This window comes from Homo sapiens, chromosome 7 (assembly GCF_000001405.40).
Source record: "Homo sapiens chromosome 7, GRCh38.p14 Primary Assembly".
Lineage (NCBI taxonomy): Eukaryota > Metazoa > Chordata > Mammalia > Primates > Hominidae > Homo > Homo sapiens.
This window is the reverse complement of record NC_000007.14, coordinates 5,618,864-5,642,247: the sequence shown is the minus strand read 5'-3', so window position 1 is coordinate 5,642,247 and position 23,384 is coordinate 5,618,864. Positions and strand designations below refer to the sequence as shown.

The 23,384-nt window shown below is 50.3% G+C and overlaps 1 protein-coding gene across 8 annotated transcripts in view, besides 4 other annotated features; it reads left to right on the top strand.

Moving 5' to 3' along the window:
• RNF216 (ring finger protein 216) overlaps nucleotides 1–22,201 on the top strand; it is a 161,617-nt gene extending 139,416 nt beyond the window's left edge. For all 8 annotated transcript variants that reach the window (NM_207116.3, NM_207111.4, NM_001377156.1 and 5 more), the window contains 3 exons: nucleotides 872–1,094; nucleotides 18,123–18,192; nucleotides 19,069–22,201. In NM_207116.3, the coding sequence (NP_996999.1) occupies nucleotides 872–1,094; nucleotides 18,123–18,192; nucleotides 19,069–19,388 (613 nt within the window). In that variant the 3' untranslated portion in view covers nucleotides 19,389–22,201. The remainder of the gene's footprint in view (nucleotides 1–871; nucleotides 1,095–18,122; nucleotides 18,193–19,068) is intronic.
• Nucleotides 2,023–2,887: an enhancer, noted in NCBI's record as "H3K27ac hESC enhancer chr7:5678992-5679856 (GRCh37/hg19 assembly coordinates)". NCBI's record gives its function as "activates a minimal SCP1, AML or CMV promoter by ChIP-STARR-seq in naive H9 embryonic stem cells {active_cell/tissue: H9 hESC(naive)}" and the evidence as "EXISTENCE:reporter gene assay evidence [ECO:0000049][PMID:30033119]".
• Nucleotides 5,335–9,961: an enhancer, noted in NCBI's record as "VISTA enhancer hs1623". NCBI's record gives its function as "enhancer in: midbrain (mesencephalon)[4/5] | branchial arch[5/5] | facial mesenchyme[5/5] | other[4/5]" and the evidence as "EXISTENCE:transgenic organism evidence [ECO:0001131][PMID:17130149]".
• Nucleotides 6,993–7,912: an enhancer, noted in NCBI's record as "H3K27ac-H3K4me1 hESC enhancer chr7:5673967-5674886 (GRCh37/hg19 assembly coordinates)". NCBI's record gives its function as "activates a minimal SCP1, AML or CMV promoter by ChIP-STARR-seq in naive H9 embryonic stem cells {active_cell/tissue: H9 hESC(naive)}" and the evidence as "EXISTENCE:reporter gene assay evidence [ECO:0000049][PMID:30033119]".
• Nucleotides 14,379–15,050: an enhancer, noted in NCBI's record as "H3K4me1 hESC enhancer chr7:5666829-5667500 (GRCh37/hg19 assembly coordinates)". NCBI's record gives its function as "activates a minimal SCP1, AML or CMV promoter by ChIP-STARR-seq in primed H9 embryonic stem cells {active_cell/tissue: H9 hESC(primed)}" and the evidence as "EXISTENCE:reporter gene assay evidence [ECO:0000049][PMID:30033119]".

Genomic DNA, 23,384 nt, shown 5'->3' with positions numbered 1-23,384 from the left:
GAGCAAGACTCTGTCTCAAAAAAAAAAAAACAAAACAGAACCTTGAGTTGTAGAACGTTGAGTAGTGTCTTCACAGTTGCTGAGTAACTAAAATCATAAACGGATGTACTACAGAGGTGACTCATTAAGGTAATAGTACTAAATGCACTTTATCTAAACCTCATCTCCTTGACAATGTTTTCTTTCTTTCTTTTTTTTTTTCTTTTTTTTTTTTTAAGATAGAGTCTCACTCTGTTACATAGGCTGGGGTGCAGTGACACGGTCTCAGCTCACTGCAGCCTTCACCTCCCGGGTTTAAGCGATTCTCCTGCCTCAACCTCCCAAGTAGCTGGGATTACAGGTGTGCACTACCACGCCTGGCAAATTTTTGTATTTTTAGTAGAGACAGTTTCACCATGTTGGTCAGGCTGGTCTCAAACTCCTGAGCTCAAATGATCTTCCTGCTTTGGCCTCTCAAAGTTCTGGGATTACAGGCGTGCACCACCATGCTCAGCCTGTTCTCTCCATTTTAAGCCTACAGGGATTCCTATAACAAATAGAGCAGTCCTTTTCTAAATGCTGAGTACTGGGCACTATGCCAGGGTACTTTATATTTTGTCTGTAATTCTCAAAACACCATGAGAAAGTTGTGTTTTCACAGTTTAAAAATGAGGAAACTGAGTCTCCAGGCAGGTGAGTAATTTACTGAAGGTCATACAATTAAAACTTTGAAGCAGTTCTCAGACTCCAAAACCTAGGCTCTTTTCACTGTTTAATGTCACAAAAAAGCCATAAGTGATCATTTTATGTGAAAATAAATAAATGCTTAATGGCCATATTTTTTTCCTCCTCATCTTCCCTCCCAGCTCCAAATTATGTTTTCTTATTTCAGTGAAGAAAAAATGACTGCTGCCCGCATTAGAAAATGCCACAAGTGTGGGACTGGCCTCATCAAATCTGAAGGCTGCAACCGCATGTCTTGCCGCTGTGGTGCCCAGATGTGCTACCTCTGTCGAGTTTCTATTAATGGATATGACCATTTCTGCCAACATCCCCGCTCACCAGGAGCCCCTTGCCAGGAGTGTTCAAGATGCTCTCTCTGGACCGATCCCACTGTAAGTAGACACATGGCTGCCTATTGCTTTATAGGGAGAAAATAGAAATATATTTTTATGACAAATATTTTGAATATACGTAACAAAATTTGACTTAGGAGAAGAATATAGGAAATTACATAGACTGATAACCAAAGAAAAAATTTGAGAAACTAATTATCAGCTACTCCTCATGCTGCTCAAAGCAGCATGCCCTAACAGTTTTATAGGCAAATTCTTTTAATTCTTCAGGAAATAAAACTCTGTGCCCTCTGAAATATTCCAGAGCAAAGTAAGGAAACTTACACATGTATCTGTTCAAAGCCAGCATAACGCTGATTCCAAAGCCTGACGGAGATAGCCCTAACAAAGAAAACTACAGATTTTCTTATGAGACTCACTTATAATCTAGATTTTAAATTATGTAAATAAAATATTAGCAAATAGAAAGCATGACCAAGTGAGTTTGTTCTAGAAATGCAATGATGGTTTAATATTAACAATTCTATTAACGTAAATCATTATATGGTATCTGTAGATGGTGAGAAGACATTTAAGAAATCAAATCAAATATTTCTTCTTGATTTAAGCTTTAAAAATACAGTATTTTAGAGGAGGAGCAAGGCTGGCAAGGAAATTAAACACATAGGGTCTGTTTGGGGATCGGAAAGAAAGCAGGTGAGGTTTGCAGGTGGAGAGAGCCACAGGGAGGTGACAGCGATTGGCCCAGGGGCCGGCCTCAGATCTGGAGTGTGATGAGAGCCATTTCAGGGCATTGTAGGGGCTATGTTTCCCAGGTCACACTAGCTACTACGCTGGGGAGAGAGAGGACAGCATGAAGGGAATGACTTTTATAATCTTGGAGAAGATAAGGTTTTTCTTGCATTACATCAAGGCCAGACTAAAAAATAATAAATTCTCACTGGCAAATGACATCATAAACAAAGATTAGGGATACATGAAAAACTGGGGGAGAGGGTCAGGCACAGTAGCTCACGCCTGTGATGCCAGCACTTTTGAAGGCCAAGGTGGGCGGATCGCTGGAGCCGAGGAGTTCAAGACAAGCCTGGTTAACATAGTGAGACCCCCATCTCATTAAAAAAAAAAAAAAAAATTGGCCGGGCGCGGTGGCTCACGCCTGTAATCCCAGCACTTTGGGAGGCTGAGGCGGGTGGATCACAAGGTCAGGAGATCGAGACCATCCTGGCTAACATGGCGAAACCCCGTCTCTACTAAAAATACAAAAAATTAGCCGGGCGTGGTGGCAGGCGCCTGTAGTCCCAGCTACTCAGGAGGTTGAGGCAGGAGAATGGCGTGAACCCAGGAGGCAGAGCTTGCAGTGAGCTGAGATCATGCCACTGCACTCCAGCCTGGGCGACAGAGCGAGACTCCGTCTCAAAAAAAAAAAAAATTAAGGCTAGGCACGGTGTCACATGCCTATAATCCTAGCACTTTGGGAAACCAAGGCGGGTGGATCACCTGAGGTCAGGAGTTCAAGACCAGCCTGACCAATATGGTGAAACCTGTCTCTAATAAAAATATAAATATTAGCCGGGCATGGTGTTGGATGCCTGTAATACCAGCTACTCAGGAGACTGAGAAAGAATTGCTTGAACCCAGGAGGCGGAGGTTGCAGTGAGCTGAGATCGTGCCACTATACTCCAGCCTGGGTGACAATGTGAGACTCTGTCTCAAAAAAAAAAATGTGGAGCCATGTGTGGTGGCTCATGGGTGTAATCCCGGCACTTTGGGTTCTCAAAAAAAAAGGAAAACAGAAGTGTGTTTCTCCTCTATGTGTAAGTACAGAGATGAACAGCCCAGGGGTGGGCTAGCAGCTCTTATCTGGGATCCAGTTGCTTCCAGCATTCTACTCTGCCACCCCTAGATCATAGCCAAGGATCACATGAGGTCATTGTCTGAAAAGGAGCTCTGGCTGATAAATCCACATTCCAAGCAGCAAAGGGGCTGCAGTGAGGCTAAAGAGCCTGCTTCCCTATCTCTTAAGGAATGTTAGGCTTCCAGAAGCTGCAACAGGTCACTTCTGCTTCAGTCCCATCAGCCAGAACTTAATGACATTCTTCCTCAACTGCAAGTGAGACGGGAAGAAGTAGCCATCACAGACCCAGCCAGAATGTCTGTGGAGGAAGATGTTATACTGAGGAGTCTCCCTATGGTCTATTCACCTCAACTCAAAAATGGACAGAGGAAGTTTAAAAAAATTATAAGTAGGGAAAAAAGCTGCTTGCTGGCCAGGTGCAGTGGCTCATGTCTGTAAGCTTTGGGAGGTCAAGGCAGGAGCATCACTTGCATCCTGGAGTTTAAGAACAGCCTGGGCAACATAGTGAGACCCCCATCTTTACAAAATATCAAAAATTAGCCAGATGTGGTGCTCACCTGTAGTCATAGCTACTTGGGAGGCTGAGGCAGGAGGATCATTTGAGCCTGGGAGGTCAAGGCTGCAGTGAGCCATGTTCTTGCCACTGCACTGTAGCCTGGGTGACAGAGCAAGACCCTGTCTCCCCCCCAAAAAAAAAAAAAAAATGCTTGCTTTTCTACCTGGCCACAATCTGTTGGAGTTGGCTAACAGCCACCCCTAATAATCAAATAAATGGAAATGAAAATAGTACCTGGCTGCTGGTAGGTAGTTTTCAGATTTGTTGGCATCTGCTACACTGTAATTGGGCATAGTGGGCAGTTACTGTGTACAGATCCGAAGATGTAGTGCGTGTACTTGATCTGGGAGTTCCTCTTAATTAGAAAAGGTTATCCGCAGGAGACAGTTGGACAAGTTCACAAAGTTCTGTCTGCAACACTGTTCACTGAGTTGTTTAAAGTTGTACAAATTTAGAAACACCATTTAAATATCCCAAAAAACAGGAGATATGTCAAATTTTATATATGCTTACATTAGAATTGTACAAAAAGTAATTCTATATATATCTACACTTTAAAACATGGAAGAAAAGAAACAGGAAGATTTTCACATCGAAAACAAACAGTATGGATTGCTGGGGTCACAGACCCAAGTTACCACAGGGGCAGGTGGTAGCAGAAATGATGTCTGGATGGAGCATCCAGACGTCTGGGTCTAGGAGGCAGGAAGGCATAGTGGGGACTGCGGCAAAGGAGAGGGTGTGGGGCCCATCCAAGGGGGCTGCTGCGCAGCCACTACAGGTTGTTGCGGGGAGGGCCTCCCAGCTGCTCGGGAGCCTGAGGCACAAGAATCACTTGAACCTGGGAAGCAGAGATTGCAGTGAGCCAAGATCGCGCCACCGCACTCCACCCAGGACAACAGAACAAGACTTGATCTTAAAGAAAAAGAAATGCGTAATTTGGCCTGGTGCAGTGGCTCATGCCTGTAATCCCAGCACTTCGAGAGCCCAAGGCGGGCAGATCTCTTGAGTCTCAGGAGTTCAAGACCAGCTTTGGAAACATGGCAAAACTCCATCTCTACAAAAAATCCCAAAGTTATCCAGGGGTGGTGGTGCGTGCACACCTGTGTTCCCAGCTCCTTCCAGGGCGATTGCTTTAGCCCGGGACGTTAGGGATGCAGTGAGCCCTGACTGCGCCACTACACTTCTGCCTGGGTGACAGAGTGAGACCATGTCTCAAAAAAAGGGAAAGAAATGTATAATCCTGAGAGCTACTCATGGTTTTGAAAAGATGTGAGTCCTCTGTGGTAACCAGGTGTTCTCTATTTCAGGAATGTTCTATCACGGAACAAGCTCCTAACTGGGTGGGAAGCTGGGATAAGAGACCCCTAAAAATCACTCAGATTACAAAGCTTATGACCCAGTGAAACCCTTAGCTAGCCTGCCCTCCTGTCACTAAGGAGATGTGTGGAAGAAAAGGAGGCTTTTTGTACATAGAAAGCCAAGCCCGAGTCATCCTTCTTTTGCTGGGTGATCGGGAGGTGCAGCCCACAGTGGGAAGTGCTCACAAGGCAGGCCGTGCCCCTGTGTGACAGACATTCCCAGGCACAGCCCTTCTGCTGACTCACCTCCTCAGCCCCCTGGCAGCTAGCACAGTGGGAGGCAACCATCTCTAGGAACTTCATGAATCTTGAAAAAATAGATTTTTTTTTTCAGCTGGAGCTATGAAGAGCTCCACAGGCAGTATTTCATCTCTAGAGACAAAGGGCAGAGTGGGAGTTAGCGTGAGGGTGGGTGTTAACAGTCTGGCCTATTCTCAGCACTTTTTTCTTTCTTCTCCTCCTCGTTCTGTGTCTTCTGCTGCCTCCTCCCGTTGCTTCCCATGCCTGGGATTGATGGTGTGGGTTTCTCATGTGCTTTTTCCTTGTTTGGGTGCCATAGCATGCACTGCCTTGTTGTTTTCTTGTTGGATCGTCATCTTCTAACCTGAGAAAGTTTCTAGATTTGCTCAAAATAAAGTTTGAAAGGAAGGTCAGGCAAATACAAATCCCTCCAATTTCCTCTGATAGCCACAGCCGGAGATTCTGTTCCGTTTGTCCCGTTCCCATCAAAACAGCGATCAGCCCCGTTTCCTTGATTCTCACCAGGAGACCGATCGAATTCCAACCCAGCATCTGTTGGGGCTTCTGAGAACACAAAGCCATTCAGAAGTTCAGTGAAACAAAGCATGCACTGTCACACAAGCCTGTTCTCTGGCTTAATTAACCAGCAGGGCCAGGAAGAATCTCTTATTTGTCAGCGAGGGAGTTGTCCCATCATGGTTTTGGAGGGAAGTTGAGTTTTCATCCTTAATGACTAGGGATTGCTTGGGAACCTGAACTACCACTCCACAGTAAGAGCTCAAGTGGTGAACAGTAACTTTCTTTCTCTGTTAGTTATCAAAATGAAGCCAAAAGCATTCAACTAAGAGTCTTATAAAGAAGGTGTCTTCTTTAGGAAGCAAAAAACCAGAAGCGAACAGTCACAGCATACCACAGTTTTCTGGATTAGGGAGCAGAGTGGAAAGCCAGCTCTTGACACATAAGTGAACAGACGTTATTTTGCAGTAGGGGAAGAGTGATCCTGGAACTTTACTGAACGTGAATATACTGACTGGTCCTTGCATGGCCACAGGAGTGGTAGCTGAGGTGGGGAGCAAATTGTGAGAGGAACAGGCACCTGGCAGTCTGGATTTGAGAGTATGGCAAAACTTAAAACAGCATGTTCTCTTTCAATACAAAACAAAGTCCGTGTTTGTCTTGGGTTTTGGCTACGAGAAACTACAGAGAATTGTTTTCTACAGTGTCTTTGTCTTTTGAATGTAAGAGTTTGAAACCTGTCCAGTTCAAATAAAACCCTAGGGCTTTTACAGCCAGTTTAATTTGGTACAATTATCGCCTAGCCATTTGGTTAAGAGACACTCATTTTTCCAAACCAGCAGTGGACTGAGCCTAACATTTATAGATGTTAATACATTCAGTTCTGTAGCAGTGCTCGAAGGCAGATGTATCATCCTGGTTTTACTTGCTTAAGACTGTGGCCAGTAAATGGTAGCCTGGGTTTCCACCCGGGTCATTTGTCCTCGGAGTATTCCCAGGCCTGCCTTCTCCCCTCAGGCCAGCGCAGCATCTCCCTGGTGGATCAGGCATGCAGAAAGTCCTGGGGACCTTTGGGACCCTGGCTTAAGCGGCAGGGGAAAGGACATGATGTTGTTGGAATTAGGGAGGAAGGCTGTGAAAGGGAGGATTGATGAGGAAACGCAGAAACCTGGTAAGGAAAGGTATTTTAGACTTTTAGGTTGGAAACTGATTTTTGGCTTCAGAATTTTTTCCTTAACCTTAAAAATTTATTCTACAAAAGAGTAAAGTGAGCCCCCAGATTGTCCCATCACCCAGCTTCCACAGCTGGCTTTGGCGTGTTATTTCTCATCACTGTCATAAATATCATTGTGTGTTAAAAAAAAAAAAAAAAAAGTGAAGTTAGTGGGGTGGGTGTGATCATTGATCTGTCATCAAAACTGACCTCGGTTTCTTCATCTTCCTCTTAATAGCCACACAGCCAACACCATGTGAGCGTGCTATGCAGTGTGATTTTTACTGCATGGGACTGGGAGGCAGTGCTTTCCTATTTTGCAGATGAGGGAGATGATGTGTAGGTCACTAGCCCAGGATCCCTAGCTTGGTGAGACCAGGATGTGAGCCCAGGTCTTCCAACCAGTGTCTGGCTCCTGCCACAAATACATGGTCGTTAGGTGCCCATAGGGTCCCTGAGCCCCATGAACCAGGTAGCCCTTGCAGAGGGGTGGGGACCTCGCCAGACTCTTTCCCCATGGATGAATGAAGCTGCAAATAGTAGAAAGGGGCCCTGGCAGTTTTGCTACCCCAGCAGTGTCCCAGACAGGGTTTCGATGTCACTGAGGGCTTTCCCAAGCAGGGCAGCACAGTCCAGTACACACGGCCTGTTGGTGCTTGTTGCTACATGTCTTCAGCAGATCCCACCAGGCCCCTGGGTGAGCACTTGACCCTGACGGGACGCAAAACATGGCCACATTCTGCCCCCATCTCCAGGTCCTTGTGGGGGAAGTGCTCCAGATAGTGGTATTTGGGTGCTGGGCTTGTCTGACCTGAGGAGGTGGCTGCAGAAGCCAGGGCCAGCCCTGAGCCCGTGAAGTCTCTGCTCCTCCCCAGCACACTGTCCTGCCTCCCTGCCCTTCCCAGCCACAGCTGCGCAGCATGTGCCACTCCAAGCTCTGCTGCTCCCTCCCCCAACTTCCTGTTGCTGGGGACAGCAAGGGGTGGGGGCTAAGGGTCTGCCGTTGCTCAGGCGATCTGTGGCTAATCTGGGAATAATTTGAAACTAAATCTTAAGCTCTTTGGAAGCCTCTCATGAAATCATTGCAAGTTTATTAACAACAGCTGTGGCCACACATGACCTGGATCCCAGCCCCAACCCACCCCCAGAATCTCAGAGGGGAAGCACCAGTCGACTTGCAATTCCCAGTCAGCTTTCTAAGGGGAGGAAAAGTGCAATGAAGAAGAAAAGCCACCCGTTCTTCCCCCATGGTCACAGGAGGCTGGCCAGCAGGCACGTGGACAGCCAGCCCTGGGGACCAGAAGTGTTGGAAAAAAAGTCTCAAAAGGACCGTAAAGGCTTTGGCAAAAATAGTTTTGTGCCAAGCGCTCAAATGGTTATTTTGGGAACAGTCAGCCTGTGGCTGCTGATTACTGTTCATATCTGATTTGTGAAAATAAATTGAATCTTTTCCCCTTTTTAATCACTCATAGTTTCTCTTTCTTCGTTTTCTCCTGTCTATACCCTGCTGCGTGGACAGAACTGTGGGGCATATTTGTGGAGGGACAAGCTAAGGGAGGATGTTTGTGTATGTTTTGTTTCTCTCTTCTTAATTAAAACCTCTCTGGTAAATTCTACCTCACTTGCCGTCTTCAAGTGCAGCACGTTTCTGGAAAGGCCGGGTGCTTGCCATCCCCACAAGCTCTTGCTGCGTCTTCCTCCCACCCACCCTACCTGCATGCAGCAGGCAGCAAGCCAGAGTCTTCTGTGTCAGGCTGAGTTCTTTCTGCGCCCTGCTGAGCTCAAAGGAATTCAAGGAAAGGAAACAAATCTCCCTCCCTGTTAAAATGCAATCCGCTTATTTCCTTGTTTTTGTTTTGTTTTGTTTTGTTTTGTTTGAGAGGGAGTCTCCCTCTGTCGCCCAGGCTGGAGTGCAGTGATGTGATCTCGGCTCACTGCAGCCTGAACCTACTGGGTTCAAGTGATTCTCCTGCCTCACCCTCCTGAGTAGCTGGGATTACAGGTGCACGCCACCAGGCCCAGCTAATTTTCGTATTTTAGTAGAGACGGGGTTTCACCGTGTTGATCAGACTGGTCTCAAACTCCTGACCTCAAATGATCCACCTGCCTAGGCCTCCCAAATTGCTGGGATTACAGGCATGAGCCACCGCACCCGGCCTTACTTCCAGCTCTTCCAGCTGGGCGCAGTGGCTCACACCTGTAAGCCCAGCACTTCGGGAGGCCAAGGCGGGTGGATCACAAGGTCAGGAGTTCGAGACCAGCCTGGCCAATATGGTGAAACCCCGTCTCTACTAAAACTACAAAAATTAGCTGGGCATGGGGCGGACGCCTGTACTCCCAGCTGCTTGGGAGGCTGAGGCAGGAGAATCACTTGAACCCGGGAGGCGGAGGTTGCAGTGAGCAGAGATCGCACCACTGCACTCCAGCCTGGGCGATAGAGCACGACTCTGTCTCAAAAAAAACAGAAAGTGCTCTTCCAGTTCCGCTGGGTGGGTGAGACTCCCGTTTCACTCTCTGCTTTGACCCTTTGTCCTTGACACTGCATTTGGGGTGCACTGCCCACTGTGGTGCCATTCGTGTGCTTCGTCATGGTACTCATTGGATCCCACTGTGATCCATAGGTACACCTTCTGGAGTAGCGATGGGGCACTGGAGGGCTTCGTTTTGTTTTTTGGAGATGGAGTTTTGCTCTTGTCGCCCAGGCTGGAATGCAGTCGCGTGATCTTGGCTCACTGCAACCTGTGCCTCCCGGGTTCAAGCGATTCTGCTGCCTCAGCCTCCCAAGTAGCTGGAATTACAGGCACCCACCACCACGCCTGGCTAATTTTTGTATTTTTAGTAGAGATGGGGTTTCGCCATGTTGGCCAGGCTGGTCTCGAACCCCTGACATCAGGTGATTGGAGGGCTAACTTCTACCCTGGCCTGACACATCATTACGCTTGTTCTTTTGAGCCCTTGCTGATCCAGGGACACCTTGGTCGCTGATCAGCATCCACTCCCTCTCACCTCAGCCTGGCCTTGCTCATCAGAAAGGAGCTGTGCTGAGAATTCATTTGAAAGTTTTCACTGGGATTAGGAGGGGCCAGAAGGAGAGCAGAGACAGAACTCATTCAGGCCAGCTGGGTCCTTCTTAAGGCCTGTGCCAGAAACCAAGGATGAGGCACAGAGACTGCAGCCCTCGAGGGGATGCACCATGGTCTGTCATGGATCTGTGGCAGCGAGTAAAGATGCAGCCAGCAGCCCCTCCTGCCCCCACTGGCCAGGGCAAATGGCATGAACAGGAACTCAGATCTCAAATAGGTTCAGGTGAACCTCTATAGACCGCTGTCCAGGGTGAGCCCAGCAACCCAGCCTGAGCCATGCAGAGTTGAGAACTGCCGGCCATCCTTGGAACCTACAAGTCCAGACCTCCTGCCCTGGCCTCAGCACACTGCCCACCTTGGTGGTCCAGCCACTCTCTGCATCTTCTGAGCCTCAGGGTCCTCTTATGAAATCCTTGCCAGCCTCCCGTGGCGTGGAGAAGGGGGTGTGAGCTAAGCAATCCGTACAAGGCAGCAGGACCTCGTGGGGGCAGAGCGTGACCTTCTACAATGGAATCTGAGTGGGCTTGACAGTGAAGTGTGGATATAAAAGCAGCCAATGGAAAAGATATCAGAATGTTCCCAGGATTGATCTCTGGTGAGGAATTACGGCTGATTTTAGCTGTGTTGTTTTGTTCAATGTTTCCCAAGATTGTTTTAATCAATATGTATAAGGAAAAGAAATAATGGCATTTTTTTTTTTATGTTGATGAGAACCAAATCCCTGAGTTTTTTGTGACGAGAAGAGGCCAGAAAGAGAAAATGTCATGGGACCCCCATGGGATTCAAGTAACTTGGTAGTGTCAGGAGAAAACATGTCAGGCAAGGAAATCTTGAAGCATTCGCTTCTGCCTTTGAGATGGACCAAAACCAGTGAGCTGAGAACAGCACCTGGTCAGAGGCCACTGGAGACCAGTGACCCAGGGAGGCACTACAGCCTCTCACCTCAGTGCTGGGCCCCCATGTGCAGCTTAGATTTCTGGCTCAAGAGATGAGGGTTATGAGCTTTCCCAAGCTCCCCACTCCCACTCTGGGCAAGAGGAATCTACTGGCTTTCATCCCAAAGGACAAGTGCCAGGGACCAGAGGCCGACAAGTGGGCTGTTTCAGGGGATGGCACATGCACTTCTGGGTAAGCTGAGCCTGAGAAAAGGAGGATTGTTCCCTAAAAATTTCCAAAACACAGCCCCTTGCTCTGCGTTTTGGCTGTTTGTTTCCTTGAGTAGAAGTGTTTTGTTTTGTTTTGTCCTGTTACGTCTTGTAAGGGGAGAAAGGAGGTTTCAGAATTCTGCTCTTCTCAGAAGGAACCCTCTTGTGTTTCTGCACTCTTTATAGAATAAAGCACACCTTAGAACAGTTGCCTCTGACACACGCTCCCAGCCCGACAGCAGTGTTCTCAGGCCCCCAGTCAGGTTTGCCAGAAGTTCCGATTCAGAAACCTGAGGGGTTATGTGGTTAACAGCTCAGGCTTTGAGACGAGATTGCCTGGGTCACAACCTCGCTGTGCCAGGGTTTCCTCATCTGCAGCGTGGCAATCAGTTCATAGTGCCTGACTCAGGGAGCTGTGGTGAAACTGAGGTCCATGTGAGGTGTGTAGACAGGGGCTGGTGCATAGTAATCTCTCAGTGCATGTTAACTACTGTTGTTGTCACTGTGCTTGGCGCTTTATAAGAGTGATCAGACCAGGTGCAGTGGCTCACACCTGTAATCCCTGCACTTTGGGAGGCGGAGGTGGGAGGATGGCTTGAGGCCAGGAGTTTGAGACCTGCCTGGACAACACAGTGAGAACTCCCCCTCCACCACCATCTCTATAAGAAAAATTAAAAATTAGCTGGGCATGGTGATACACACCTGTAGTCCCACCTACTCGGGGAGCCTAAGGTGAGAAGATCACTTGAGCCCAGGAGTTCAAGGCTGCAGTGAGCTATAATCACGCCATTTTACTCCACCCTGGGCTGAGCAAGACCCTGTCTAGAGGGAAAAAAAAAGGTACGAGATGATTGGCTTCTCACCCTAACCTGTTTTGGAAAGGAGTGGGTTCCAGGTTAGGTAGTGGGGGTAGAGCTGCATATGCACTCAAGCCAGGTCTGGAGCCCCAGAGTTGTAGTTCTTCCCGTGACGCCAGCAGCCTCTCTTGAAGAAGCCAGCACTGCTTTAAAATGAGTTCACCCTGCCATCCAGGCAGCTCTACCACCAGGGTTTCCTGTTTGTGACTCAGCCCCGAGACAGCAGGACAGTTGTGCTGTGATCCAGCTCAGCCCCTGGCTCCTCCTCATCCTCTTTCCTTCTATTTTTCCCCTCTCCCAGCAGCCTAGGTGTGTCCTAGATTTGTAGCGTGGCCTTTTTCCAAGTGTCCTCTTCACAGGATGGTGATGCTCATATGCCTGGAATGTTTCCTGAGGGACTTGACTCCAGAATGGACTCAATACCCCATCTGTCACTTATCCCAAGTCCAAGAAGTATCTTATGAGGGACTAGGCCTCATGTTTAACCTCAAAATCAATCCTAAACCCTCCCTCCCTCTTTTTTTTTTTTTTTTTTTTTTTGAGACAGAGTCTTGCTCTGTTGCCCAGGCTGGAGTGCAGTGGCACCATCTCGGCTAACTGCAGCCTCTGCCTCCCAGATTCAAGTGATTCTCCTGCCTCAGCCTCCCGAGTAGTTGAGATTACAGACGCCTGCCACTGCACCTAGCTAATTTTTGTATTTTTAGTAGAGATGAGGTTTCACCATATTGGCCAGGCCTGTCTCAAACTCCTGACGTCGTGATCCGCCCGCCTCGGCCTCCCAAAGTGCTGGGATTACAGGCGCAAGACGCCGCTTCTGGCCCCTCCCTCTTTTTAATTGTGGTGAAGCATAAGATAAAATTTGCCATTTTTAAGTTTACAATTCAGTTATCTTCACTTTTTTTTTTCTGAGACAGGATCTTCCCCTGTTGTGCCAGTACAATGGCACAATCATAGCTCACTGCAGCCTCAACCTCCTTGGGCTCTAGTGATCCTCCCACCTCAGCCCCACAAATAGCCCCCCAGTAGCCACACCTGGCTAATTTTTAAAATTTTGTAGAGCTGGGTTCTCACTGTGTTGCCCTTGCTGGTCTGAAAATCCTGGCCTCAAGCGATCCTGCTGCCTCAGCCTCCCAAAGCACTGGAATTGTCTTCACTTTTTTTTTTTTTTTTTTGAGACAGAGTCTTGCTCTGTCACCCAAGCTGGAGTGCAGTGGCGCCATCTCTGCTCATTGCAATCTCCACCTGCAGCTTCAAGCAATTCTGCCTCAGCTTCCAGAGTAGCTGGGATTACAGGCACACGCCACCACACCTGGCTAATTTTTTGTATTTTTAGTAGAGATGGGGTTTCACCGTGTTAGCCACACTGGTCTCTTAACTCCTGGCCTCAAGTCATCCACCCACCTCGAACTCCCAAAGTGCTGGGATTACAGGCATGAGCCAACTGCACCTGGCCTGTCTTCACTCTTGACTTGAGGAATTTCAAATGCTTCAGAGAAACTGATTGTGGAAGGAACTTCCTCCCCAAATTAAGAAAGAAATCTTCCAGCTGGGTGTGATGGCTCATGCCTGTAATCCCAACATTTTGGGGAGACCAAGGTTGGGTGCATCGCTTGAGCCCAGGAGTTCAAGACTAGCCTGAGCAACATGGTGAAACCCCATTTCTACAAAAAAAAAAAAAAAAGTCAGATATGGTGGTGGGCGCCTGTAGTCTGAGCTACCAAGAGGCTAGGGCAGGAAGATCTCTTGAGCCCAGGAGGTGGAGGCTGCAGTGATCTATGATGGTGCCACTGCACCCCAGCCTGGACAGCAGAGCAAGACACTGTCTCAAAGAAAAGGAAAGAAATCTTCCCTTTAGAGTCTAACATATTAGCTAAAAGCGTAATTTTTTTATTTTAAAAAAGAAAAAAAACTTTTAAGTTGTATTAAAGTTATTAAGCACAGTGTCCTGTGACTCTAGCCAGTTGGAGACAGTTGAAATCTGAAACACCTAACCCTATATCTAGGTATAACTGACAGTTGGCTCATGATTTATGATAAAATTGTAGGTCATTGTAGCTGAGTGCCGTCATTTTGGGTGAAATACAAACCAGACTGTCTTTAGACTCCTAAGGGCGTGACTCCCAAGACAGGACTCAAGGGCAAATGGTCTTGATTCCACTTGCCAATCAGGAGAGTGATCAGAGCAGAGGGAGGGATTGGAAGAAAGGCTCTGGGGTGGCTGTCTTCGGAGGGTGAGGATGCGACACTTTTATTCCCTTGGGACTCTGAGGCTCCCTCTTCCTCTCCAGGAAGAACTCTGAATGGCAGGCTGGGAAGGTTCTATCTGCAGTGTCCTCCAGACCCCGCCGATCTGTATCAGAAACCTGGGCTCGCGCTCCTATGCAGGTGCCTCAGACCCTTCTGAGGGAGTTCTGAAATAGGATTTATTCAGGAGCACTGGGATTTATCACGGAAGCTTAGTGATAAAAATCAGGCAGTGGCCTGCATGCTCTCAGCCTCAGCAGTGCCACAGGGGGCCAGAGCTCTTCTCCCCAAAAGAGAGCCTCTCTTGTCCCTCGTGTTTTATCAGGGGAGAGTCTGAGGGAAAAAAGGGGGTTAGTGGCTAGTCTTTTTTTTTTTTTTAGACAGAGTCTCCCTCTGTCGCCAGGCTGGAGTGCAGTGGCGCGATCTCGGCTCACTGCAACCTCCACCTCCCAGGTTCAAGCCATTCTCCTGCCTCAGCCTCCCGAGTAGCTGGGATTATAGGCGTGTACCACCACGCTCAGCTAATTTTTTGTATTGTTAGTAGAGACAGGGTTTCACCGTGTTAGCCAGGATGATCTCTATCTCCTGACCTCGTGGTCCGCCTGCCTCAGCCTCCCAAAGTGCTGGGGTTACAGGCGTGAACCACCGAGTGTCTAGTCTTTAATGCTATGAAATTGCCCCTTCTATCCATGTGGAATTTCAGAGAGAGGTGCCCGTTGGAACGTTGCTCATAGCAGAGACGTGAGGCCCTCACAAGGAGGGCCAAGGCTGCCACACTCCTCACTGTGTCTGCAGCGTCCAGCACGGTCCTGACTGGTGTGGCTGCTGTGTATGGGGCAGGGACACCTTCAGGATATCTTTTCTGTGGATTTCCTCCAGGAGGACCATTGAGTGGCCCGGTGTGTGTGTTTGTCCCAGTTTACCGCCAACTAGCCGTAACATTGAACAAGGTACTTTCTCAGGGACCTCAGTTTCTGTGCTACAGAGGTTGGAATGAATGATTCCTGAGGTACCCCCTTGTGCCATCGAAGGCCATAAGTGTCCCTTGGGGACTGATGGTGTAACTGCATCGAGGAGATGCGGCAGAGGTTGAGGTGAGGCAGAGTGGTGGTTGTGCAGTCCTGTTGGTTGTGATTAGTAACGGACCAGAGTGAGGACCCCTGAAAGAAATACTGTGGGTGTCTCCCAGTGTGCACCACTTCTTCATGAAACTTCTCTACCTGTCATTTTTCAGTGTTCCTGTGTCCTAATCATGAGCATTTACTTTGGGCTACATCCTTTACATACTTGAGCTCATTCAGTCCTTAACAAAGCAGCCCATTTACAGATGAGCTTCCTGGACGCAGGGATACTCAGGAACCTGCCGAGCTCACTTAGCTAAGAGGTGTAGGCCCACGGCCCTCCTGCTGCACAACTTTCTTTCTTTTTTCTTTCTTCCTTTTTTTTTTTTTTAACACAAGTTTCACTCTGTCGCCCAGGGTGGAGGGTGGAGTGCAGTAGCACGATCACTGCCAAGTAGCTGGGACTACAGGCTCACACCACCATGCCTGGCTAAATTTTGTATTTTTTGTAGAGATAGGATCTCACTTTGTTGCCCAGGCTGGTCTCAAACTCCTGGGCCCAAGTGATCCTCCCACCAGTTTTCTGGATCAGTTCGCTTAATTTGTTGGGGTTTTTTGGTTCATTTCTTTTTTTCTTTTTTTTTTTTTTAGTCTTTTTTCTTAGGCCTGCCACTGGCTCCAAAATGAAGAGGCTTGCCAGCTCCCAGTCTAGAGAGTTGATAGCATCTACCTTGATATTCACATGGAGGCCTTCAAACTGCCCACCCAACCCTCTTGAGTTACTGCAGTCCTTCATGTTGACTCACTTAGTGATTATGTTGAAGGTAGTAAGTTCCCCCTTGTGGAGTGTTCACAAAGAGGCTAGATGACCTCATCTGGGGGTTTTGATAGAGAATTCTTATGTGTTAACCCTGGAGAGAGACAGCTCCCTCAGGATTCCTTCCAGACATAGGATTCTGTGGTGTGCTTGGGCACTTTGCAACTCTTGAAATGCATGATGGGAACTTGACCTTTGTCACCTCTCCTCTCTTCATGCCTTGCTCAGAACACGTGGCCAGGCAGCAGCAAGGAGGCTCCTTTTGCTGAAAACAGACTTGAGTATCTTAAGAATGTCCAAGTGTCAGAGTTGGAAAGAAGCTTATGAGACCTTTTAGTCCAAACCCATCACTTGGCATCTGAGGCCTAGAGAATGTAGGAGAATTTAATAGTGTCATCCACTGTTGCAGATAGAACCAATCTCCAGGGAGTTTATTCTAAGAATCTTTCATCTACCAAACCAAGGGAATGTGTTATCTAATTACTTACTCAGTCCATCTGCCTTTCTGTTTCATTGTTGATCTGAAGTTTAATCAGCAAACTTAGAACAGTGTCTAGCACAGAGTAGGCATGCAGTGCACGTTTAGTGAAGGAAATTCCTAACTCCAGAATCCTTGCGGTTCACAAACAATTGTGTGGGGAAATCACTCATTTCTGTCTTGGCTGTGACATTAATAACCTAGTAAGTAAACCTGCAAACTGTCCGTTGGTTAGCCCTCGATGGGGCTGCCCATCTTCTACTGGGCCAAGGATTGTCTTCCTTCCAGTTGCTGCTCTGGGTGTCATCAGATCGGCATGAAAAAATCCAAACTGATCATTATTAATATTCCAACCCACAGCAAAGAAATTGGCCAGATATTTAGGCTCTGACGCCGTGTCTAGGAAAATAAATGTGCTTTCATTAGACTGCTTGCATTGTTGGGACTTGCTAATCCTCTCACGATATCAGGGACCACCATCCCTCCCCATCCTTCTCCCCAGCTCGGCTGCTCTCAACTCCTGGAGGACCTCAGGGAACAGAGCCCTCCTATAGTCAGCTATCTCTTTCCTGCTTGCTGAGCCGGCAGTTGGCGTGTTTGGGTTTGCCACGGTGTTGCCACTCTGCTGCTTGTGAGCCTCAGCCCCCTCGGGCCCACACCTTAGCCCCTTGGCCCTGCAGCCAGCCAGGAAAGATGGGCACCCACTTGGCGGGTTTTTTCAATCCAGTTAATCGTCTTTCAGTCCCACAAACTGCACAGCTGTTTTGTGGGTCACTGAGGAGGGGGGTTAAGGTAAGCGCCACTCATGAAGCAGGCATCACGGGTGGTCTGTCCTGAGGCAGCAGCCCGGTCCTCCCACCATGGTGTCTGCTGGCAGGTGGGGGTGTGGGAGCTGCATGTGGCAAAAACCCAACCTCTGGGGCTTGCCCAGTGTGGCCCCTGAGTTTCCCAGCACAGCTCCCACATCTGCCTGCACTCACAGTGCCTCTTCGGTTCGTGTCTGAGGCTTGGATAACCCAAGTGTGAATTGTGTTTGTTATTTCAGGCCTACCAAGCATGGGGTTTGGGAGAAGAGACGGCAAGGTCCGAGGGGGACCATCCTCACTGTCGCACCTTCCTCCTCTCCCCGAGGCCTGGCCCAGGAGCCAAGGCCAGCCTTGGGGGCTAAGCAGGGCCCGACTGGACATTTGTCCATCTCAGTTGAGGACATCTGCAAGACTTTTCCAGGCTCTGCAGACAGGCTGCCATGCCGAGCGCTTGTGGACTTGGGATCTGAAACTTTTCAGGCTGTGCCCACTCAGACCCAGCCCTCTCCAAACCCTTCTCATATCCACCACTTGCACGCAGCTCAGTGCATGGAGGCCCTCCATCCCCCCACCTCACCAGGCAGCTGCCTGCCATGCTCAGACCCCTCTGCCCAGCCTTGTGGATGGCCTCCTTGTGGAACGCCATCAGGCTGATGAAGGAAGGAGGCCTTCGGGGAAATAGGAAGGAACGGTGTGCAGCCCAGGCCCCACTGGCCAGCAGCAGGCTTCGGGCTTGTTCCATGGCCATAAGCAACAAGCGGCCTCCTCACTGTCCCACGGGGCCTCAGCACTGCATGAAGCTACAGGTTCATCCTTCTCATTGCTTGCGTTTTAGGAAGATGATGAGAAGCTTATTGAGGAAATCCAGAAGGAGGCTGAAGAGGAACAGAAAAGAAAGAATGGAGGCAAGTGCCCCTCCCCAGGCCCCCAGGACAGAGCAGCAGCCAGGCCATGCAGGCTTCTGCTGGCCTCCCTGAGTGTCCTGGCACTCAACCCAGCACAGGAGAGGAGGGGGTGCTGTCCCTCAGGTGGCTATAGACCTGACTTCACCCACGCGGCCACATCTCAGGCTTATGGAAAGGCCTTCAACGCCTTGAATATAGTTTTGGCATCTCCTTGATGGTGAGGAAGTCCCAAGGGGTGGGTTTGAGCTCAGGAATCAATCAAGCCACACCTGGCTAAAGAAAAGTAGACCCAGCTGATCCTTCTGAGGCTGAAAAGCAGTGAAGCCAGGTGTGTTGGCACACATCTGCGATCCCAGCTCCTCAGGAGGCAGAGGTGGGAGCATCACTGGATCCCAGGAGGTTGGGGCTAGCCTGGGCAAAATAGCAAGACCCCATCTGTTTTTCTTTAAAAAAAAGAGGCTAAGTGCAGTGGCTCACATCTGCAATCCCAGCACTCGGGAGGGTGAGGCAGGTGGATCAGTTGAGCCCAGGAGTTTGAGACCAGCCCGGGCAACATGGCAAAACCCCATCTATTAAAAAAAAAAAAAAAAGTAACTGAGTCACTGAGGTGGCCCATCAAGGCCCTGGCTCTGAAGGATGTCTGGCTGGGTGGGTGGACGTGCCACCTTCCAAGGTGCCACTGTGGAGCAAGACACTGGTGGAAGTACAGATTTGTTCTTGGTTTCTTGCAGTGGCATTTGGGAGGTGTCCACGTTTTGTGCTTTGATCAGCATGTGGAGCCACTCCCGTGTCCAGAGGTCGCTGCCCTGGTCCCAGGCTAGATTCCATTGAGGTTGGTTTAATGTTTTTCTCCACTAATCCCCACATCCCTTTCAGAGAACACCTTCAAACGCATTGGACCCCCGCTGGAGAAGCCTGTGGAGAAGGTGCAGAGGGTGGAGGCCCTCCCGAGGCCCGTTCCGCAGAACCTGCCACAGCCACAGATGCCACCCTATGCCTTCGCGCACCCACCCTTCCCCCTGCCTCCCGTGCGGCCTGTGTTCAACAACTTCCCACTCAACATGGGGCCTATCCCAGCCCCGTACGTGCCCCCTCTGCCCAACGTGCGGGTCAACTATGACTTCGGTCCCATCCACATGCCCCTGGAGCACAACCTGCCCATGCACTTTGGCCCCCAGCCGCGGCATCGCTTCTGATGGCCCCGAATCCCCATTGAGCAGCACAAAGCCCGTTTGGGGTAGGAGTGTGGATGGAGAACCCTCCCCCAAGGCTGGTGTCTGTACCATTGCATCCTAAGTCAGCTTGAAGGGTAGGCTGGTTTTCTTCCCACCCCTTTCCTAGAAGGGCTACTGCTCCTGGAAGAGTGGACGGATCCATAATAAAGACGTCCCAAATGGTGGAGTTCGGAGAGAGCTGCGATGTGAACTGCCCCTCCCCTCGCATCCCCCAGGCCACCAACGGCAGTCCTTCTGCCTTGTCCATGGCATAGGCCATAGACCAGGTCCCTGCTGCTCACACCTGGGCCTCTCCTCGGAGCCGACCCCTGGGTAGCAAGGCAGCCGAGAGCATCTCCCTGGAGGGGCCCACGGTTGGGCCAAGGGCAGAGGGGGCTGCACCTGCGGGCCTGGGAAGCATTGCTCAGGGTGGGGGGCTGGGACCATGGCCCGCAGAGGCACTGCCACAGCTGTGAGGGCCAAGATGCTGTCCCCCCATCCAAAACCCGTGCGCCACTGCAGTGAGTGTTGAGGGCACCTCTCCTCCCCTCTTACACCTACTCAGATGAGGCAGCAGCAGACCCATCTCGCGGCGGGGGTTTTGTTCTGTTGCCGCCTAACTTTCTCATCCTCGGTCTCTGGAAAGTCAGGCTGAGAAATCCTTTCCCAGGCCAGGCCGCTGCGGTACACTGGATGGTTCTGAAGCTGGCCCATTGAAAGAGCCTCTTAAGGCAGCTGGGACAGAGGCCTGGTGGCCCTGCTGGGCAGCCCAACTGCTGGGGGAGACGTTTCTGCCACCCTGGGTGATGAGCAGCTTTTCCCCCCTGGCTTTCTGGGGGAGGAGTGGGCCTCCTTAGGGAGACAGGTGACCCTGGGTGCCACCCCTGCCCCGTGTGTGCCCCGGGTGTTCTCAGTGGTTGCTGAAGGCAGGTAGAGGGTGCTGTCCAGTATCCCCCATGTGAAGGTCACTTCCCTTCTCATGGAGTCAGCTGAGCATCAGCTCAGCCCTGCCATGTCCCCACTCACCCTCCTCGCCTCCTGTCCGGCCCTGGGTTTCTAGCGGTGCCTGAGGCATCACTCTGGCCCATTGACAGATGAGAGGTCTGAAGCCTTCCTGGCCACAGGCATCACTTTCTCCTCCTCCTCATGCCCTGCCTTGTCCTTGTCGTGTTGCCATGGGGTTCTGAGAGGCTGGGAGTTCACAGACCTCAGACACAGCTGAGTCCGACAACCATTGGGGTGGGGCTGCATCAGTCTCCGGAGTGGCCCGCCACCTCCTGAAGCAGGGCCTGGCCCACCCAAGGTGCCTGGGGCAGGCGGGCACCGTCATTCGCTGCCATTGGCTTCTCAGATGTATTTCAAGGACTAAAGTGGGCTCTAAGATCTAAGATGGCCCGGCGCGGTGGCTCCCGCCTGTAATCCCAGCACTTTGGGAGGCCGAGGCGGGCGGATGAGTTGAGGTCGGGAGTTTGAGTCCCCGTCTCTACTAAAAATACAAAATTAGCCGGACAAGGTGGCGCATGCCTATAATCCCAGGTACTCAGGAGGCTGAGGCAGGAGAATCACTTGAACCTGGGAGGCAGAGGTTGCAGTGAGCCAAGATTGTGCCACTGCACTCCAGCCTGAGCAACAAAAGCAAAACTCTATCTTTAAAAAAAAAAAAAAAAAAACTAAGATACCCATTCTTTCTGCCTTTGCCCAGGATGGAGGCTTTGAAGACAGGTGGTCACCTGGACCTGGGGTAAGGGTGCGCAGGGAGGCCGGGCTTGGGGGCAGCCTGCTGCTATGTCCTTGCTGGCGCCCATACCTGTTGGACTGCCTGAACTTTGCTACTAGCCTGAACGACAGTGCCTTGGAAAGGCAGGCTCCATGCGGCAGCAACAGGATTGTCTTCGGTACCTTAAATATGCTCCCTGTGCTTCCCCAGGGAGGATCTCTGGGAGCAGAGGGCGGCTGTAGACATCACAGCTGAAGAGGTGACCTCAGGCCCTGGGAGCCTCAGCTCCCTCTGCCCTGTACCCTAGGCACGTGGCTCCAGCAAGAGCCCCAGGCAGGACAAAGGGAGCAGGCAGCAGCTGCAGAAACAGCCCTAGACAGGTGCTGGCCTCAACCCTGGCAGGGGAGGGGGAGCCCAGAGTGATGTTTCTCCTAAGGCCAAACCCCAGGGGTGGGTCATTTGAGAGGAGTTCCAGCTGTTCTGGCCACACTGGGCTGGTGGGGAAGGAGCGGCGGCCTCTTTCCTTGGAGGGTCCCTGATTCCTGAGGATCCTCCCCGAGCCAGGCACGGGGGACCACAGGGCTGCCGTGAGCACCCACCCTGGTTCTCCAGGCCCCTCTGTCCAGAGGCAGGGCCTGAACCTCGGGCTCCTGCCTGGACCAGTGACAGCATTGGGGAGAGAAGCACTGGGGGTCTTCAGACCAGCCAGCAAGGGGCCGTGCCAGTGCCCAGAGAGCAGGTCAGACAACAGGCAACCCTGAGGCAGCTGGCTCCCTCTCTCTGCCCTGCAGGGCTTGCCGCAGGGCGTGAGGCTCCCCAGCCACAGCCCCCTCTTACTTGCCTTAAAACTGGAGAGAGGAATCTAGTATTTGCACTTAGCAAAATATTTAAAAACTGAAAAAAATGTGCATGATCTGTCACTTTGTATAAAAACAAGAAACGATTAGTTCATTAAACTTTTTCTTTACCTTCTGGTAGTAAAAATAGATAAAATAATTCCGTTTCAACTACTGTGTGTAAAAAGCCTGTATCATATGTAACTGGGACTTTTGTAAATAAATGTTTGTGCGCTCTGCTCCCTCCAGCTTCGTCTCTCCACCCCGCCATCCGGCAAGTTACAGGGGCCGCCGACAGATTCGTCCAAGTGATTGGGTCTAAACCAGCATCCTCACCTCCCCGACTGGGTCCTGGCAGGAGCAGGCCCGGAAGGCCCAGTAGTAAGATCCCCACCACTCCCCTGCCAGGGAGGAAGATCAGGTGATCTGCTAGGCAAATCCCGCTAGGGCGGCTACCAAGGCCCACATTGGGCACAAAGGGTCTATCTGTTTTTGGCACAGAATCCCCTGCAAGAAAGGTGCAGTCGGTTTCTTTTGCAGGCCCCTTCCCCAGTCTGCCCACCTAAAGGTCAAGTAAACCAGGAGAAGCCTCGCCCAGCTGAGGAGGGGACAAGGTTCCAAGGACAGGAAGTGCCTGGGCTGAGAGGCCATGGCATTTGAGTCCCTTCCCTGACTGGTGAGACACTGCAGTGCCAGGGCCCTGCTACCCTCGCTGTTGGCACAGCCTCTTCTCCTCCGGAGTCCTTCCTGCCATGTACCAGGCCAGGCAGGAATCTGGACCCTAGATCTGAAGGGGGCCCTGGGCACAGGGGAAGCTGTGAACTCCAAATGCAGATGGACTACAGCTCGCTTTAATAAAACAGGGTCTCCTGCCGTATGCAACTTTCTATGGAACAATTACCTGTCTTTCTCATGTCTGAGAAAAAGTATACTAAAAGCTTCAAGAGAAAAGTTACATCCCCCAAAAGGTTACCCACATTCCCAGCTTCTAAATGTGGTTTTGGTTTTTTCTGAAAGGGAGTCTCGCTCTATCACCCAGGCTGGAGTAGAGTGGCACGATCTCGGCTCACTGCAACCTCTGCCTCCCAGGTGATTCTCCTGCCTCAGCCTCCTGAGTAGCTGGGATTACAGGCATCTGCCACCACACCCCGCTAATTTTTTTTGTAGCTTTAGTAGAGATGGGGTTTCACCATGTTGGCAAGGCTGGTCTCGAACTCCTGACATCAGGTAACCTGAACACCTTGGCCTCCCAAAGTGCTGGGATTACAGGCGTGAGCCACCGCACCCGGCCCAATCTGTGTTTATTTTTAATTTGTTCATGGCATGCAGTCCTTGTTCCTGTTCCTCCTCTATATTTGCAACAATATCATAAAATTTTCTGCAATTTCAGTAAATAAGTAAAAGCTATGTATCCGTTCTGCTGCT